The 17220-nt window shown below is 37.9% G+C and overlaps 1 protein-coding gene and 1 long non-coding RNA gene across 3 annotated transcripts in view; both read left to right on the top strand.

The window, feature by feature from the left end:
* PIR-FIGF (PIR-FIGF readthrough) overlaps positions 1 to 17220 on the top strand; it is a 145719-nt gene that overhangs the window by 10458 nt on the left and 118041 nt on the right. Inside the window, exon 2 of the long non-coding RNA NR_037859.2 lies at positions 1031 to 1123. This is a non-coding gene — a long non-coding RNA (PIR-FIGF readthrough). The remainder of the gene's footprint in view (positions 1 to 1030; positions 1124 to 17220) is intronic.
* The window catches only part of PIR (pirin), a 108535-nt gene that overhangs the window by 12482 nt on the left and 78833 nt on the right, over positions 1 to 17220 (top strand). For both annotated transcript variants that reach the window (NM_001018109.3, NM_003662.4), the window contains exon 3: positions 1031 to 1123. In NM_001018109.3, coding sequence (NP_001018119.1) covers positions 1031 to 1123 — 93 coding nt within the window. The remainder of the gene's footprint in view (positions 1 to 1030; positions 1124 to 17220) is intronic.

Below are 17220 nucleotides of genomic sequence, written 5' to 3'. Positions count from 1 at the left end.
ATCACCTTCAGGATAAAATCCAAACTCATTTAGGACTTGTCCTCCATCGTCTGCCCATGTATCTCATAATTCCATATGCATCTTTTGCCCCAACAGATTAGTATCCCTTAGTTCTTCAAGCATGCCAAGCTGTTTTTCTGCTTTTCTACCTGGAATATCTTTCCTTCTCTTTTTCTCCCATCTACTTGATTAACTCAACCATGTACTTCAAGACAGAGATTAAGTGCCATATTCCTGAGTTTTCTGACCTTCTTTGATCCCTTCCCACTCTCATATGTGTAAAATTGTCTTCCTCCAAAGCATTTATCATCTTGTTGCAATAATTGATTTTCTAGTCTGTTCCCCTGTAAGATTATGAATCTGTTTAGGATACAGAATACATCTTGTTTATACTTGACTATTTATATCTTAGATGATTATGAAATGTTTGTCCACTCTTTGCGCTTCTCATAAAATGACAACTCTCTAACACAATCCGTAAATCCTTGTGTGTGTGTGTGTATTAGTCCATTTTCATGCTGCTGATAAGGACATACCTGAAACTGGGCAATTTACAAAAGAAAGAGGTTTAACTGGACTCAAACAGCTCCATGTGGCTGGGGAGGCCTCACATTCATGGTGGAAGGCAAGGAGGAGCAAGTCACATCTTATATGGATGGCAGCAGGCAAAAAAAAAGAGTTTGTGCCGAGAAACTCCCATTTTTAAAACCATCAGATCTCGTGAGACCCATTCACTGTCACAAGAACAGCACAGGAAAGACCTGTCCCCATGATTCAGTCATCTCCCACTGAGTTGCTCCCACAACACACGGGAATTATGGGAGCTACAAGATGAGATTTGGGTGGGGACACGGAGCCAAACCATATCAGTGTGTATAAGAAGTTCTTCCTGAAAGCAATTTTCATTGTAAAAAGTTGCCCATTGGCTATGTAGTTTTCAATGAGGCTTGCTAGATCTGTTCATAAATGTAGCCCCTGGTAGTATGGCTTAAAAGACATATCTAATCTGCAAATTTTATTTTTATTTCAGTTAAAAAATCTGGATCCGTTTTTACTGTTTGATGAATTTAAAGGAGGTAGACCAGGAGGATTTCCTGATCATCCACATCGAGGTTTTGAAACAGTAAGTACAATAATTTGACTGCAGAAGTGTGTATTTTGAAACATACCTCTTTCTTCTAATAGAAAATTCAATTTTAAAAGCAATAAATAATAGGCTAAAAATTCATTTATAAGTTGCAGGCTATTTTACATAAGATATACTCAAATTTAAATATTTACTGTTTTTAGTATTCTTTGAATTTATGCCACCAAAAACATTCCTATTTGTGCAGTTAATAAGTTGGCTTATTAAAATATTTTTGTAATTAAAATAATTCATTGGGGATAGAATAAACTATTTGTGATTAAAATACTTTTTTATATAGAAAACCTGTTTCTAATCATGTCACTACGCTCCATTCTGGGCAACAGAGTGAGACCTTGTCTTAGAAAAAAAAAAAAAGAAAGAAAAAAACCTGTTTCTATCTTGTTTCTATCCAAGAATGTTCAGATGTGTGTAACCTCCTGTAATATTATAAACTCCAAAAAACAATCTAAGAACTACAAGAGTATTTATACTAACTTCTAAGGAATTATAGAATCAAGGGGCCCAAATATAACATAGCCTAAAAATTAGGATTTTAAGGACATACATATACATTTACTAGTTTAATTGCAAAATTTAGAGATTCTACTGAACACTTAATATTCAGCTTTAGTTAGATACAGAAATAAAATGTGTAACATAATATTGTGGCACTTTCAAAGATTCTCATTGTCCACACACATATATTCTGTGGAAGCTCAGGGATCGTTACTTCCTAGTTACAATGTTTAACCATCTACTCACCAGAACAACCTGCATTAGTAGGGAAGAGACCAGGGCTTGTTAAAGGCTCAGTGTGTTTATAAACCCAATTAGTGAATGAGTAAATATTTATTGAAGGCTGGCGATATGCAGGCGTTGGTGTAGGGTGATCTTTTGTATGTTAGGGTGTGTTGTGTGTTGGGAAGTGTGAGCAGAAGGCAGAGGGAGGGAGGCTAAAGAAGGGTGAGGCATGATCCCTGCTTGCCTCATATGCAGTCTAGTTAAGGAGGTTAAAGATGTTTGGGAAAGGGCACCACCACAGTGTAAAGGGATAATGAACCAAGAAGTTTCTGGAAGTAGGATCAGGGTAGTTGGACTCTTTTCCCTTCCTCATTTAGCCATTCGCCTTCCAGTTCCCTTCTCTGCTAACACGTTGAAGGCGCTGTGGCTTGCTTTGCAGCAATAATGGAAGCCATTCCTTTCACCTACCCTACACTCATACTGGATTCTGACCCTGTTCCTGGAAGATGTCTCCACTCTGTGCTCCTGCTCGAGCTACTTCTTGTGTGCTCCATCCCATAGCTCCACTTACCACCTTACTAATCCTTCAAGGTCTTTTCGGATATCACCAGCTCCATCAAATTTTGCAGACAATCCCAAGAGGATGCACTTTCTCCTTCATTTGGTCCTCATCGCATTATATTTTTACCAGTCTCATGCACATTATGCCTTTTTGATGACCTTGATTGTATTCTATCTGTCTTGCATTAGAATTGGGGATTGCCTCAACCTCCCCTCACATACCCAAGAGGATCATAAATTGCTTCAGCTGAGATCATTCTCTGTGTTCTCTGTGTGGAGATAGTAACTACTGGCTGAATTTAATTGGATAATAAAAAGTTGAAGACAATGAATATATTAAATAAAATGAATGATTAAATATATTACTTTGATTTCCATTATGGAAAATGCTTTCTGGGGGGGGGGGAATACTTTATAAATTATAAGGTACTCAGCTTTAAGCAACTCCCTCAAGGAGTGCAGCTGTAGAATATTAATGTTTGGCTCTTTTAAGAATTTTCTTTAAAACTGTAACTGTAATTATTTGTCAGTTCATTTACTTGCTAAAATTCATTTGTAACCCCCAAATCAGTACCTGTGGTGCTTTTGTAGTAATTTGTGGGCATGTGTAGAGTGGCAAAAAATTTGAGCTGCCCAATGCACACATTCCCAGCTGAGGTTGAATGAAGCGATGCTCTTTTTTTCTTGTTTCACAAGAAAGTGACCTTTCACAGTGTATTTAGTGCCACTTTGTCCACCTTTTGTGCTTTGTGTGGGTAATTTCACTGTTTAAAATGGCTCCCACACACAATACACTAATGCTGTCTAGTGTTCCTAAGTGTAAGAAGGCTGAAATGTGCCTTACGGAGAAAATATCTGTCTTAGATAAACTTTATTCAGGTATGAGTTGTAACACTCTTGGCCTAGAGTTCAATGTTAATTAATCAACAATATTTGTTAAATAAGGTGTCTTTAAAGAGAAATAAACATAAAACAAAGTCATGTATTGATCAACTGAGCAAAATATTGTGACCAGAGGCTTGCAGGAACACAATCCTGTATTTATCCTAGGAGCAATGGTCTAGTATTCTCTAATTCAGTGATCATGGCAACTATATAGAACATTTTTTCTATAAAAATGATGAGAATCAACTGTATCAGTTTTCCTCAGGAGTGTAGGTAAGCCAGAGACTCAAGTGGTAAGCCATTATCTCTTAATGTGAGCTTTAAAAGGCTGAAATTTAAAGCCAGCCCCACTTGTACTCTCTCATCACCTCCCTGGAGCATTTTCTAAATTATACAGGCTTGTACATTTTGAAAATGCTGACTAGGATAAAGAACAAATTTAGAATCACCTGTGATGTTAGCTCACCATCCAGAAATAGCTATTGTTTTTATTTTGATATATTTTCATTCAGTACTTTTTTTCTGGTACCACACTATGTTTTGCATCTTTTTGTTAGCTTAGTATTATACTATAAGCATTTAAAAAATATTATTTAAAAAACTAATTTTAATGGCCTCATTAAGCATCTGCCATGATGGTTGTACCAACTGATATCACCACAGTGATGTGTTCTGAAGGTTCCTGTTTTCCCTCAACATCAGCAACATAAATGTATTTATTCGACTTTTCTGACCTTTGCCATTTTTACAAGTGAAAAATAATGCTTTATGATAGTTTTAATTTATATTTCTCTTATTTGAGCGAGATTGATTTTGTTTTCATTTTAAAACATTCATTCACCATACATATTTAATATTCTTGGATTTTTTTTTTCCTGCTGGGTTGCTGGTATTCTTTTTATTATTTTATAGAAGGTCTTCATATATTAAGGAAGTCAGATCATTTTCAGTGATAGGAATTGCAATAGTGTTAAGAGGGATTGGGCTTGTTTTGTATGCCTTCAGAGGTAAACTTTTGAATACAAAGCATAGATACAAAATAGAAGGAAGAACTTTGTAACAATTAGTTATGCAAAGATAGAATAACTAATATAAGCATGCACTGGAACAACATAAGCATGTACTGAATGGTCACATACTTGATGTGTTATCAGGATCAAGGTCCTCAAAATAGTGATGTGCTGGAGCTCCCATTTATTTATTTTTTAATAAAAATGAAATTTTACTAACACATGAGTATAAAATGTAACTAATATACATATTTTGAGTGCACACTCACATTTATTTTAACTGGTAGTGATACATGATCAAAGAAATGTGGAAAATATTATTCTATAAAATTCTCATTATCTCAGGTGTGACCCATGAACCAGCAGTGTTATCATTTGTAGCCTCAGTCTCCACTTCAGAGCTCTGGATCAGAATCTACATTTCTACATCATCAAATGATTGATATACACATTAAAATTTGAGAAATGCTGGTCTAGATCTTCCAAATCAGAAATACGATTCTATGAGATAAGTAAGAGAGAGAACCCAATTTTACTGGGTTAATGGCTAAGCCATTTTTAAACTTAACTCTTAGGTTTGAATAGCTATATATTTTCTATTAAAAATTTGCCTGAAAATTGAGAAGGCGTACTCTAGGGAAGAGGCACAGCTGGTGGTCACAACACAAAAGGAGAAATGCATTCAGTTTTTCCTACCAGGAGTTTGTTTTCTGGGGAGGATTGTTTTTCAAAAGGCCTGAGTGGTAAAAGGTGAAATACTTCTGCATTTACCCTGTTTCTGGTCAGGCCTGATATTGTGATTTGTTTAGGGCAACTTCAGTTATCAGAAACAAAGAACAATCAGAGACATGGGAAAGTCCCGCTAAAGTTTAGCTCGAAAAAGGAGGTACTTATAGATCGGACTCCGTTGATGAACCTCTCACCTACCTTAGGAAGAAACATGTGTTGTGCCTTTTGAAATCATCCTTAAATGATAGCCTCTGGACTTTTCAGGTTTTAGCACTGAAAGGCTCCTGTCCCCAGGAACCTCTCAGTCCTTAGCAAACTGAGATGACTGGTCACTCCTGTTTAATTAAACTTAGGAACTATTAGGAGAAAACCATCCTGCCTGCTTTTCAGGGACATTTTAGGATGGCCTTGTCTACTGTGTTCTCAGTTAGGCTGAGAAGTGTTTTTAAAATTTTTTCACTACAAGCCTCAGCAAGTTCTTTGATTTTGTTCACGAGAACAAAACCACCCTGTTTCCAAGGGTGTGTCCATCAGAAAAGCCACGCTCATAATTACTTGTTGGTAGCCGACAGTGTTTGCGTGCAATGCCTGAACAATACCCAGGAGAGGAAGGGAAAGGTCCTGGTGATTCACACCTAAAACTTATGACCCGATTCAAACCTCCCACCTCCCACATAGCCTGTTTTTTTTTTCTAGCTTGCTGTGCACCACTTTCAAAAGCAAACCCTACCATCAAGGCTGAAAAAAAAAACTTGATTAAATTCAACATCCATTTTGGAAAACCGGGAAAGGATACTTTTTCAATATCATAAAGACTCTCTATTGTTCAGGGAGCATCTTTTGTTATATTTAACACTGAGATATTAGCTATATTCCTATTAATATGAGAAAGAAGACAAGACTGTCTACCAGTACCATCACAGTTTAATATGGTTCTGGAAACTTTGAAGCTATTAATAAGTAAGAGTTACAGTGTTGGAAAGGAGGAGAAAAATTATTTGTAGGTAATAAAATAAGAATGAAACTCACAGTGGCTTAATGTGGCTTTGGTTGTTGATATGACTGGAGGAGGGAGGAAGGCTCAGGATTTGTCCTGAAGTTGTGATTACAGTGAAGCACACAAATCTTAGCATATATATTCATTTGGCATGATTTGAGAGTGAAGGTAACAGATATAAGAAGGAAGCTAAAGCCACCTCTACTCTCAAGACACCCCTTGGCACCACTGTACTAAGAATGTCAACCAAAACCTATTAGTAAATGGCTGGATATAAAATAACTATGAAAAATCAATAATTCTCCTGCTTAAAAGCAATAATCAGATGTAATGGTGGTGTTAAAGCAAACTAAATATGGCTTGAGAAGGACTCTGTATTTCTATATTTGAGTCCTTGTGGACGCACCATAACCTAAATTAATAGATAGACAATATTGAAAACCTAACTTAGAAGTATGTGCCTGTAACAATAGCTGGGTCTTGGCTAATCCCAGCAGCCATACTTCAACCACTCATACACTGCTGAGTGTTCAAACAAGGCAAACACTTGTTTGAACCAGTCCAGCTGTTTCTGTACCTCACTTCTGATTTCTGTATGTCACTTTCCTTTTGTTGTCTATAAATTTGTTCTGACAACGTGGCATCCCTGGAGTCTCTCTGAATCTGCTGTGATTCTGGAGACTGCCAGATCTGCTAATCATTTTTTTTTCTTGGTCCGTTAAACTCTGTTAAATTTAATTTGTCCGAAGTTTTCTTTTAACAGGGGAAAGCATCGTATTCATAATGGCAGTAAGAACCCGATATAATTCCCTAGAAAAAAGTTATTCTCCTTTAACCCAGTAACCCTACTTCTATGACTCTATTTATGGGAAAAATCCAAAGTAAGAAGAAAGGCTTATTAACAAATGTTTATTCTGGTACAGTTTTTAAAAAATAAAAAACAGAGGCTGGGCGCGGTGGCTCACGCCTGTAATCCCAGCACTCTGGGAGGCCGAGGCGGGCGGATCATGAGGTCAGGAGTTCGAGACCAGCCTGGCCAACATGGTGAAACCTTGTCTCCACTAAAAATACAAAAATTAGCTGGGTGTGGTGGCAGGCGCCTGTAATCCCAGTTACTTGGGAAGCTGAGGCAGGAGAATCGTTTGAACCTGGGAGGCGGAGGTTGCAGTGAGCCAAGATTGCGCCATTGCACTCCACCCTGGGCAACGAGCAAGACTCTGTCTCAAAAATAGATAAATAAATAAATAAATAAAAATAAAAAAGTATTCAAAATAGTAGAGGAATAATTATATATCTAGAAATTATCTATAAGAAAATTATATATTTGAAAGATGGAATGTTATGCAGCATTATCTATAAAGACAAATATTGTAGCCAATTTAAATATTCGTCAATCATAAACTGTTTAGATTGTTTTTTTTAACCTCCACAACTAGTGACTTTTTGGATGCATAATTCTTTGCTATGGGGGGGCTGTTCCACGCATTGCAGGATGTTTAGCAACGTCCTTGGCCTCTACCCACTCGGTGCCAATTGCATCTGCCTACACCCAGTTGTGACAATAAAAAAAAGTCTCCAGACATTGTCAACTGTCCTCTGGGGGTGTGAGAGAGGGCAAAATCACCCCTGGCTGAGAACCAGTACTTTAAATATATGTGTCCAATAGCATGGCTTACCATGCAGTCATTAAGGAGAATGACATGGCTTGATAGGTCCTAATATAGAACAATCTTGATGATATTTGGAAAGTGACAGAGGCAAGGTGCACAATTCTTGTGGCATAGTGTAGCATTTATATAAAAAGCAAAAACTATGCCTTTTTTCTTTTTTAAATGGCTTATTGCCAAGTTTATTGTGGGGAAGATGGATTATTATAATGAATGATTATTTCTACAGACTATCCTGATGCAAATAAAATAAAATTACAAAATACATGTTATAGTACCCAAAGAAGATGGTGTTTAAAGAGAAAATGAACACATCATAACAGGTACAAATATGTATTTACAAAGCTTTTTAAAAAGTAGTGGTTTATGTACTTATAGGATTACACAACCATCACTGCTGATTCCAGAACACTTTCATCAGCCCAGAAAGTAAACCTGAACTCATTATCAGTCTTTTCTCATTCTTCCTTCCTCCAGCTCCTAGGAACCACACTTTCTGTCTCTATTTATTTGTCTATTCTGACTATTTTATATAAAAGGAATCATATGGTATGTGGCCTTTTGTGGTTGGTCTCTTTCACTTAGCATAATGTTTTCAAGGTTCATTCAGTTTGTAGCATATATATTTCTTTATATGCCTGACTAATATTCTATTGTATCGTATGGATATTCTATTGTATGGATAGACCACATTTTGTTATCCGGTCATCCATTGGTGGACACTTGGGTTGTTTCCATTTACACCTTTATTCATAGACTTGCCTGGATTATCTCTGAAAGGATCCCCAAGAAACTTGTAATGTGACCTCTAGGGAAGGTTAGCGGGTGACAAGGGAAAGTTGTGGACAAGATTATTGGTTTTCGCTGAACCCTTTTTTTCTCTTTGTACCTTTAGAATGTTCAGTTGTATTTGTTAATTATTTAAGAAATTCATGTTTTCAAAATTTCTTCTTCGCATACCAGCCATTCAGATATTTAAAGATGAACTGTGCCCTCATGGTTAGTGAAGGTCCTGATGATCACTTGTTCTCCAGGAACTCTTGCTGAGGCCTCCTACTTGGGTTTGCCCTCTCCAGATAAAGTGAACCTTACCTGTGTTCTATTCCTGTCAACCAGATAAGCTAATAATATATGCCATTGTGTAATGGGGATGAGGACTTTCTCTAGAAAACATCTGTGCACCATTAGAGGGGCGCATGAGATTTAGGAGTGCCTTAAATCAAAAGCATAACTTTCTCCTCCACAACACATTGCCTAGCTGAAAGGATATTAAAATAGTGAGTGCACTCATGAGTTTAGAAGTGGAGGCAGAGGACTTTCAAATTGCATGAAAGTTAGAAAATAATTAAGGAGGAACAAGATGGGTATAGTTGAAGAAGTTTCATGTTTTGAGGCAGAAGCTATCCCTTCTAACAGAAGGATCTGGGAGGGCTTCAGGGAAAATTTGCCCATTTAGTAAGGCCTTAACCAATAAGTAAGATTTGACTCTCTGGATAGTGGAGGTAAAGGTGAAAGTCGCGGTATGGGGATATAGTAGAAACAGTGAGTCATCTAATCGGGCTTACAAATGGGATGTGGAAGGATGGGAGGTGGAGGAGTATTATAGGGTCTAAAATTTTAGGTTGGGCCATTATTGGGGAAGGCCCAAGCTTCGAAGCCCAAGCTTGATCTCTAGCTATAGATGAATGAACAATATTTCACATCCTGAAACTGTCAACTTAACACAATCACGTTAAAATAAAACCATCTTTAGCCTAAAAGTTCTGCTTTTTGTGGAGTGCTGTCTATGTCAGTGGTTCTCAACTGGAGGTGATTTGTCCATCTGGGTCATATGGCAATTTCTACATTTGATCTTAGCCAAAAGCCCAAGAAGTGACTCATTTGCAATTTCTGTAGTCATTTCTGAGTGTCACAACTGGGGAGTGCTACTGCCATCTAGTGGGTAGAGGCCAGGGATGCTGCCAAACCTCCTACAGTGCACAGGCCACTTCCCACAGCAAAGAATTAAAGCCTCGTCTGTGTTAACAAGCGTAGGTCACATGAGGGAGAGTAGAAATTTAACTGAAATATTCTTTGAAAGTAGTCCAAATAAATTCCCAACAAATTTCCCTATACATCCTACCCACACCACATTGCAATTACAAACAAAAACCATTCATGTCTTAAAGGCTACATTCCAAGAGTTTTTAAGTAGAAAAATTGAGTGTTGGGGGGGTGGGGGGCCGGGGTGCGCTGGGCGCGGTGGCTCACGCCTGTAATCCCAGCACTTTTGGAGGCTAAGGCAGGTGGATCACTTGAGGTCAGGAGTTCAAGACCAGCCTGGCCAACATGGTGAAACCCCGTCTCTACTGAAAATACAAAAAATTAGCTGGGCGTGGTGGTGGGCGCCTGTAATCCCAGCTACTCGGGAGGCTGAGGCAGGAGATTCGCTTGAACTCAGGAGGTGGAGGTTGCAGTGAGCTGAGATCACACCATTGCACTCCAGCCTGGGCAACAAGAGTGAAACTCTGTCTCAAAAAAAAAAAAAAAAAAGAAAGAAAGAAAGAAAGAAAGAAAAATTGAGTGGGGGGAAATGTAATAAAGACTATAAGCCAATCATTAAAACATTATTTTATATCACCAAATATAAAATAAAGCTTTTCAAGTGAAACGAGAAATAAGTCCAAAGTAAATTAACATAGATCATTAAATGATAAAAAGCTTCATGCAAATTGTCCACACTATTAACAAAGCTGCTTCAGAGTCATCCAATCAACAGACTCTTAGAATCACAGGCCTGACTACACAGGATTAAACTTGAAGGAAATTTGCCATGCAACAGTATTAACTACTGATATATGAGAAGCTTCATATGTTGATACGTTACCTGTAAGCCTCAAAACAATCTTGAAAAGTAAAAATTGTTATCTCCCCCATTTTACACATGAGGAAACTAAGGTTCAGGGAGGCGGTGACTTGCGAAGTTCACACAGGCCATACAGAGCAAGATTTGGTGGGCCCATATGATCCCAGGCCCACATTTGTCCACTCTTTTTTGCTACCACTCCTTCTGGAACAAAGTTCCCTTTCTATATATCTGATATTTTCTCAATACTTTGACACATTCAGATGATTAAAAGATTTTTAATACCATTAGAAATGAGATTGTGCAGGTGACATAGACCATAAAACTATGAATAAACACCCCATACTCCTTCTGCCACTCACTTACTGTGGGACCTATGCTTTCATGGTCCAGGGATCTGAATTTTCCTATCTGTAAGTCCAAAATAGTGCTCTCACTTGTCCTCTGAACTTCCAGTATAATGAGGAAATGGGTTAGGTTGATTGTACCTGGCTATTTAAGGACAATCATTTACCTTACTTCTTATAGCTGCAACACTGTTCATGATCTAGTAGTAACATGATAATAAATTCATGTTTCAGTCGCTTATAACTTACTACAACCTAATTTTTCCCTCTTTCTGTATACCTTTTCTCCCCACCCTACCTTAATTTTTTCCCCCAAATTTCTTCTTTTTAAGACCCACCTGGGAGGATTCCTCCTCCACGAATTACTCCCTCATTCCTCTGGAATCTTTGTCACAATCAATCTTTCTTCTAGATTTGCTTGTACTTCTCTTTAGCTTTCATTTCTCTTGTCTGCATATTTTAGTGGTTTATCTTCTGCTAGAGTGGTAGCTCCCTGAAGGTATGGAAGCAATGACCACTGTGTTCCTTCTAGGTGATTCCTGACTTCCTGTTTGTGAGTTTGTAATGACATTTTATCTTGGGTGGGCCAGAACGAAAGAAAGAAAAAGAAAGGGGAGGGAGGAATGATTAGCAAAGTAGTGGGCCTTTTCCTAGAGATAAATTTATTTTATTTAAAAGACTGTTCTTTATTCAGATATTGCTATTCTTCCTTTTTTTGGTTGTTAGAATGGCCTTTCTTTTATGAAATGATGACCATAGTAGATAATTTTTACCTTTCACAATCTGAATTTAAAAGTTGGCACCCCCACCCACCATTGAGGAGTATTCTATAAAATACTTCACCAGTACTCTTCAAAATTATCAAGCTCATGAAAAACAAGGAAAGAGTGAGAAACTGTCACAGATGGAAGAAACCAAGGGGACATGATGACATGGATCCTGAACCAAAAATGGATATTCATAGAAAAACTGGTGAAAGCCACATAAGTGATATACTTTAGTTAATGGCAGTGTATCAACATTGGTTTCTTAGTCTTGGCAAATGTTCTGAGGTTATATAATATGTTAATGGCAGGAGAAGCTGGGTGGACTCTCCATACTATCTTTACAATTGTTATGTAAACTTAAAAATTATTCCAAAATTTAACTTTTATTTTTAAAAGACTAAGGAAGGCAAAAAATTGGCATCCCTCTCTCAGACCCCTTTATTTTAAAATGTTTTATTGCTTCTTGATGTCCAAAATCCTGGGGCCTGGGGCCCAATAACATCAAGTTCAATGATCACACTCACTCAAAGTTTGAGAAATTAAATCTACAGTGAATTGAATCAGGGAATCATAATAATAACGTACCCATAAAAAGGTGTCAGCTGCTTAATTAAATATTGTTATAATGAAATTTTAACAAAATATTAAAAGGAAAATCGACATGAGTCTCTGAAACCTCTTCCTCTGTAAGACCCCTGTGAGTCCCAAACCTGCCCAAGACCATATGTGCAAACAAGTGTTTTCAGGCACTTCATTCTTAGGCATCTGCCTTAACAACTTTTAACTGGAGACTGTACTAAGCAGAAGAACTTCCCTCTATGCCACAACATAGCTGATCCCTTAATGACTAGATGGCAGCCTGCCACAGTGACACACAGTCTTTAAGCAGAGACGCCATGCATGTGCTACAAGACATATTTAGTAATCAGTGGATCTGTTGGCGAGACATAGGTCTGGTTTGGTGAGGTTTGATTTTAGGAAAAGAATGAGCACACATAATTTGTGTCAGCAGAGGGCTCTCTTAAGCAACAATAGTTCCGACTACCCGTTTATGTGGAAATTTGGGTAGTCATAGAAGTTAGCAAACCATTCCCTTCAGGCCCCTTCAGTATAACATGGAAATTAAAACAATGGAAATGAACATCTTGAGCACAGTTTTGCCAGATGTAGGTGGTGCCAGTTAAGAAGTTGGGCTGCTGATTACATGGCGACCCAGGCATAGCTTGTCTGAAGAGATTCCCCAAAACATTTATTCCTGATCTGGGTTTGAAGGAGAAGGGGCATGCCTGGTCCTGGGGTTCTAGAAGCAGCTGGAAGTTTCTGAGGGAGTTTGTAATTCAGCTCTTTTGAGTAGTTAGGTTTGGGAATATGATTATCATAGAACCTTGATGTCCATGTCAGAAATTTTAATCAGAGTGAAAGAAAAAAATAGGTTTGGGAGACTTGAGAATGGGAACAACGTAAAAAAATAAGAGACAAATAAGTCAGTTGTTCTTTTCTTTGTAGTTAGATGGTAGGTAGAACTCTTTGATACCCACACCAAAGAAGGATTTCATGATCACCTCATCTCAGGATCCTGTAGCTTTGGGATCTTCCATAAACCTACTCCCTTCACTCAGAAATCATGAGGCCTATTTTCAGCTTTGTGTATATTAGCAGTAGGACCCTTTCTTTGCCTGAAATAGCCAGTTTGCCTGAAGCCATTGAAGTTGGCAAAGTCCCCTTGTTACCTGTGTGAAATCCCTGCAGTTCTGGCTCCTATTGCAATTGTCATGGGATTTCTCCTCTGAGACAAGCCCTGTGCTCCCAGCACATACGTTACTGGCAATATGCCGTCAGCATTTGTGAGGCAGCATGGGGGTGGGGGAGTGAAAGTAGTTTTATTCTCAGGGACAGATAATGTTGTTTTAGATCTTTGTTCTGCTATTGTTAACTGTAACCTTAATCTCACTAAGCCACGATGTTTTCATCAGTAATATATAGGTGATCACATATTTCCAGGATCAGATGCTTTGTAAATGCTGAAATGCTATGCAAATATAAGATGCTATTCATCCATCCATCCATCGATTGATTGATCAATTCATTCATTCATTGAACAAATCTTCAGTGCCAGCTGTATGCTAGGCACCATAGTAGCTAAGTTAAAAAAGTCCCTGCCTTCATGGGGCTTACATTCTCTTAATGAAGACAGACAATAAATGAATAACAAATAATTACATAATATAGTGTCCCATGGTGAAAAAGCTAGGAAGAAGAAACAAACCATGGTTGGAGGATACAGAATTGATTGATAAATTAGACCAGATGGGCTGGTTGGAGGTGGCCTTTCTTAGGCAGTAACATTTGAACAGAGGCCTGAGTGAAGCGAGGAGGTGAACTATGAGACTGTTGGAGGGGGTAGGGGGAACTATTCCAGGAAGCGTGAATGAAGATCCACGAATGGGATCTCTGCCCACGGAGCTGTGGTAGCTGTGCCAACTCTAGGACTTACCCATCACCTGTTATGGGCCAGGTGCTTTGCACACATTACTCACTTAGTCCTTACCACTCTCGGAGAGCTCACCTCCCAGGTCTATGCTGTACATGAGGAGACTGAGCCTCCAAGAAGTGAAGGGACTTCACCCTGCATACCAAACCTGGTAAATGGCAAACCTGAGGTTTGCACCAGAGCCCCAAAGCCGGTGTAGTTTTTGGAGGCAGGGCCACACCTGCAGGGGGCAGAGTGGCGGGAGTCTCTGAAGCACTGGTGCTTCTGCAGGGTGGTGGCAGGGAAATGTAAGGCAGGACCTGGTAGAGCTTTAAAATACTCGGATTTATCCATTGGCCGAATACCTGAACCGTGTTGGTTATCTTTTCCTTTTTGTTAAAACCACCTTTTGGAACTTGTGAAGGTGCGTATGTGGGGTTGGGATTGGGTGAGTCAATTTAGTCAATTGGGTGATTTTCCCGGTTTCTACTCAAGTCATGAAAACATTTTTGTAAAATAACTTGAGTCCTTAATTGTATGGATTCAGACATCCTTGAAGACCAGTTAGCAGCTTCTATTATGCAATATGTTCCTTGCTGGCATCTCTCATCAGCCATGACCTCAACTCGTGTTTTGTTTTGTTTTTCTCTTTTTCCTACCAAGCCACTAGTAGACAAAAAAAAAAAAAAAAAAAAAACAGCCACCATTTTAAAGCAAATGGAAATTAAAGGAAAACATAGTTTTCCCTGTAATATAAACATTTTGCTTTAAAGAACAGGTCTTGCATCTTATTCCCAAACACTGAATGAGGTACTCAGACTCTGCCTTCTAAATACCAGCCAGAAAGAAACAACAAACTATATTATCTCTTGCGTTGTAATTCTTCAGAATTAATTTATAGCTCCTTGAGGTACACCTTTCCTAAACTTCACATGGCAAGTGACACTTTTCTTTCATCACTATTGTGTGTTTTGTCTTTCTGCCCCCAAACACAAACACACAAGGAAATAAGAACTGACAAGGAAGCAAAAATATTTAGTAAAGACCCACGGAAAGAATTAGAAGGAGGAAAAGAGGAAGCAGGACCAAGAAGCACGTCAAGTGCTTTAAGAAAACACCTGTTTCAGATTACAAATTTCTTACTTAATTAGACACATGCAACTCTTGAGTTTAAACATAACACTCACAATTCGTCAGCCACCCACGGCAATTCTCCAGGTGTTTGTGATTATGTAATGCCCTAAAAAATCATCTGGATTGTGTCAACTCTCAGAAGTACTGCTTCAGTTTTTTAAAAAATCCTCTACAGACATTAATTTATATGTAAAGTCTCAGTCTAGCATTTACACTACTTAGCAAAAAAACAAATAAAAGGTTATAATAAGTAAAAGGTCAGTGGTTTCCTTGGTTTCTGATTTTTTTTTCCCCAAAGGCTGAAAGTATGTTTTTTGCTTCAAGTAGTAAAAGATAGGCATTTTGAATTCAATAAAACTTCATTGACCAGACTTCTCTAATTCAGATTTTATGATATTTAGGATAGGAGCAACGAGGTTTAATTGTATAACCAGGGAAAGGAGCATCCACACTGCAAAAGTAGAGGAAAGGGGGGATAACTGTTTCCTGAATCTTTTTAAAAAAGTGTTGAAATTGCTTCCTAAAATCAAATTTGGAAAAAAAAATCTTGATGTCCACTTAGATTTTTCATCCTTAAATGAGTCATACTCACCACAATTTACTTTTTAAAGTTGCTTGACATATTTTTAGATGGTTAGCAACCTGAAAGCCCTTAGGCTTGGATAATTGAAAAATATTTGGGGATGGAAAAGAATATGATTTGAAAGGGACTCCTTTGAGAGCCCAAAAGGGAGCTTCAGCCCAAACAGAATGGAGATTGCCTTTCTCATGCAATTATTTTAATTAAAAATGCATGTGCAGCAGGAAAAGCAAAGCAATTCTAGACACCACTCCTTATAGTTTGGCTGATTGTTTGAAATCTGGAAGCTTTTGTTTGTCCTCTTAAATTTTTAAGCTTTGTATTAGATCCTAAATGCTTTGTTCCTATTCTGACATAAGCGCTCTCTATAAAAAATGCAGGTCTTTTCCACACAGTAACACATGTTAAAGTCGGAGCTGCATTGTCCTACATGTAATATGGAGCTACTCTTCTGATTCTTAGTGTTTCTCCTTGTGTCTCACTGCCTTTCTATCCAGCCCCAGTTCACCTAAGCAGGGAACAAGATATTCATCAGCGTCTATGTAAAATAAACTATATCACTTACTTTCATCCACTGATTAGCGGCAGCATCTTTCTTTTTTCCAAAACAAAAAAGTTGTTTCCATTGTATAAAAGTCAATTAATTATTACAGAAAATTCAAACTGTCAGAAAAATGGAAAGAAACATATCTGAAATTCTACTATCTGGAGATGACCACTGTTCACATTGTGATGTATGTTCATCCGGGCACCTCCATGCATACTAACACAACTCGATAATTTTATTTAAATGAGTCCATTTAAATACATTGTTTTATTTGTCCCCTTTAAATAGAATTGCTGTTCTGTAACCTGCTTTTCCAATTAAATAATATTTCATTTTTTTCTGTGTCAATAAATAAAGATCTATATCACTTTTTAACGGTTGCACAGTATTCTCTTATATGGCTACACTGTAATTTAGTTGCGTTACTTATTAACCTATCATCCAGAATGTCCCTGTCTTTTGCTATTGCAGTAAATATTGCAGAGAATGGAATTGTGCAGAAAATCTTGTTTTTTTTGTTTCCTTAGATTTAAATCTCAGAAGTATACTATTTGCATTTAAATCCTTCATCCATTTGGAACATGTTTTTGTATGTAGTGGGGGATTACTGTCTTTTCTCATATGGTCATTTGTTCTAACATCATTCACTGGGAAATACATCCTTGCCCCACTGATTTGAAATTGCTACTTTCATATATTAATTTCCCATACAAATGGGTCTCTTCTATCCCTGTGCCAGTGTTGCATTGTTGCCATTACCATAGCGAGTTCCCAGATGGGGGTTTTAGACTTCAAACCTAGAACCTCTAAT

The sequence above is a fragment of the Homo sapiens genome, chromosome X (assembly GCF_000001405.40).
Source record: "Homo sapiens chromosome X, GRCh38.p14 Primary Assembly".
NCBI classification, from domain to species: Eukaryota; Metazoa; Chordata; class Mammalia; order Primates; family Hominidae; genus Homo; species Homo sapiens.
Note: the sequence above shows the minus strand (reverse complement) of the source record. Positions and strands in the feature narration are given on the sequence as shown.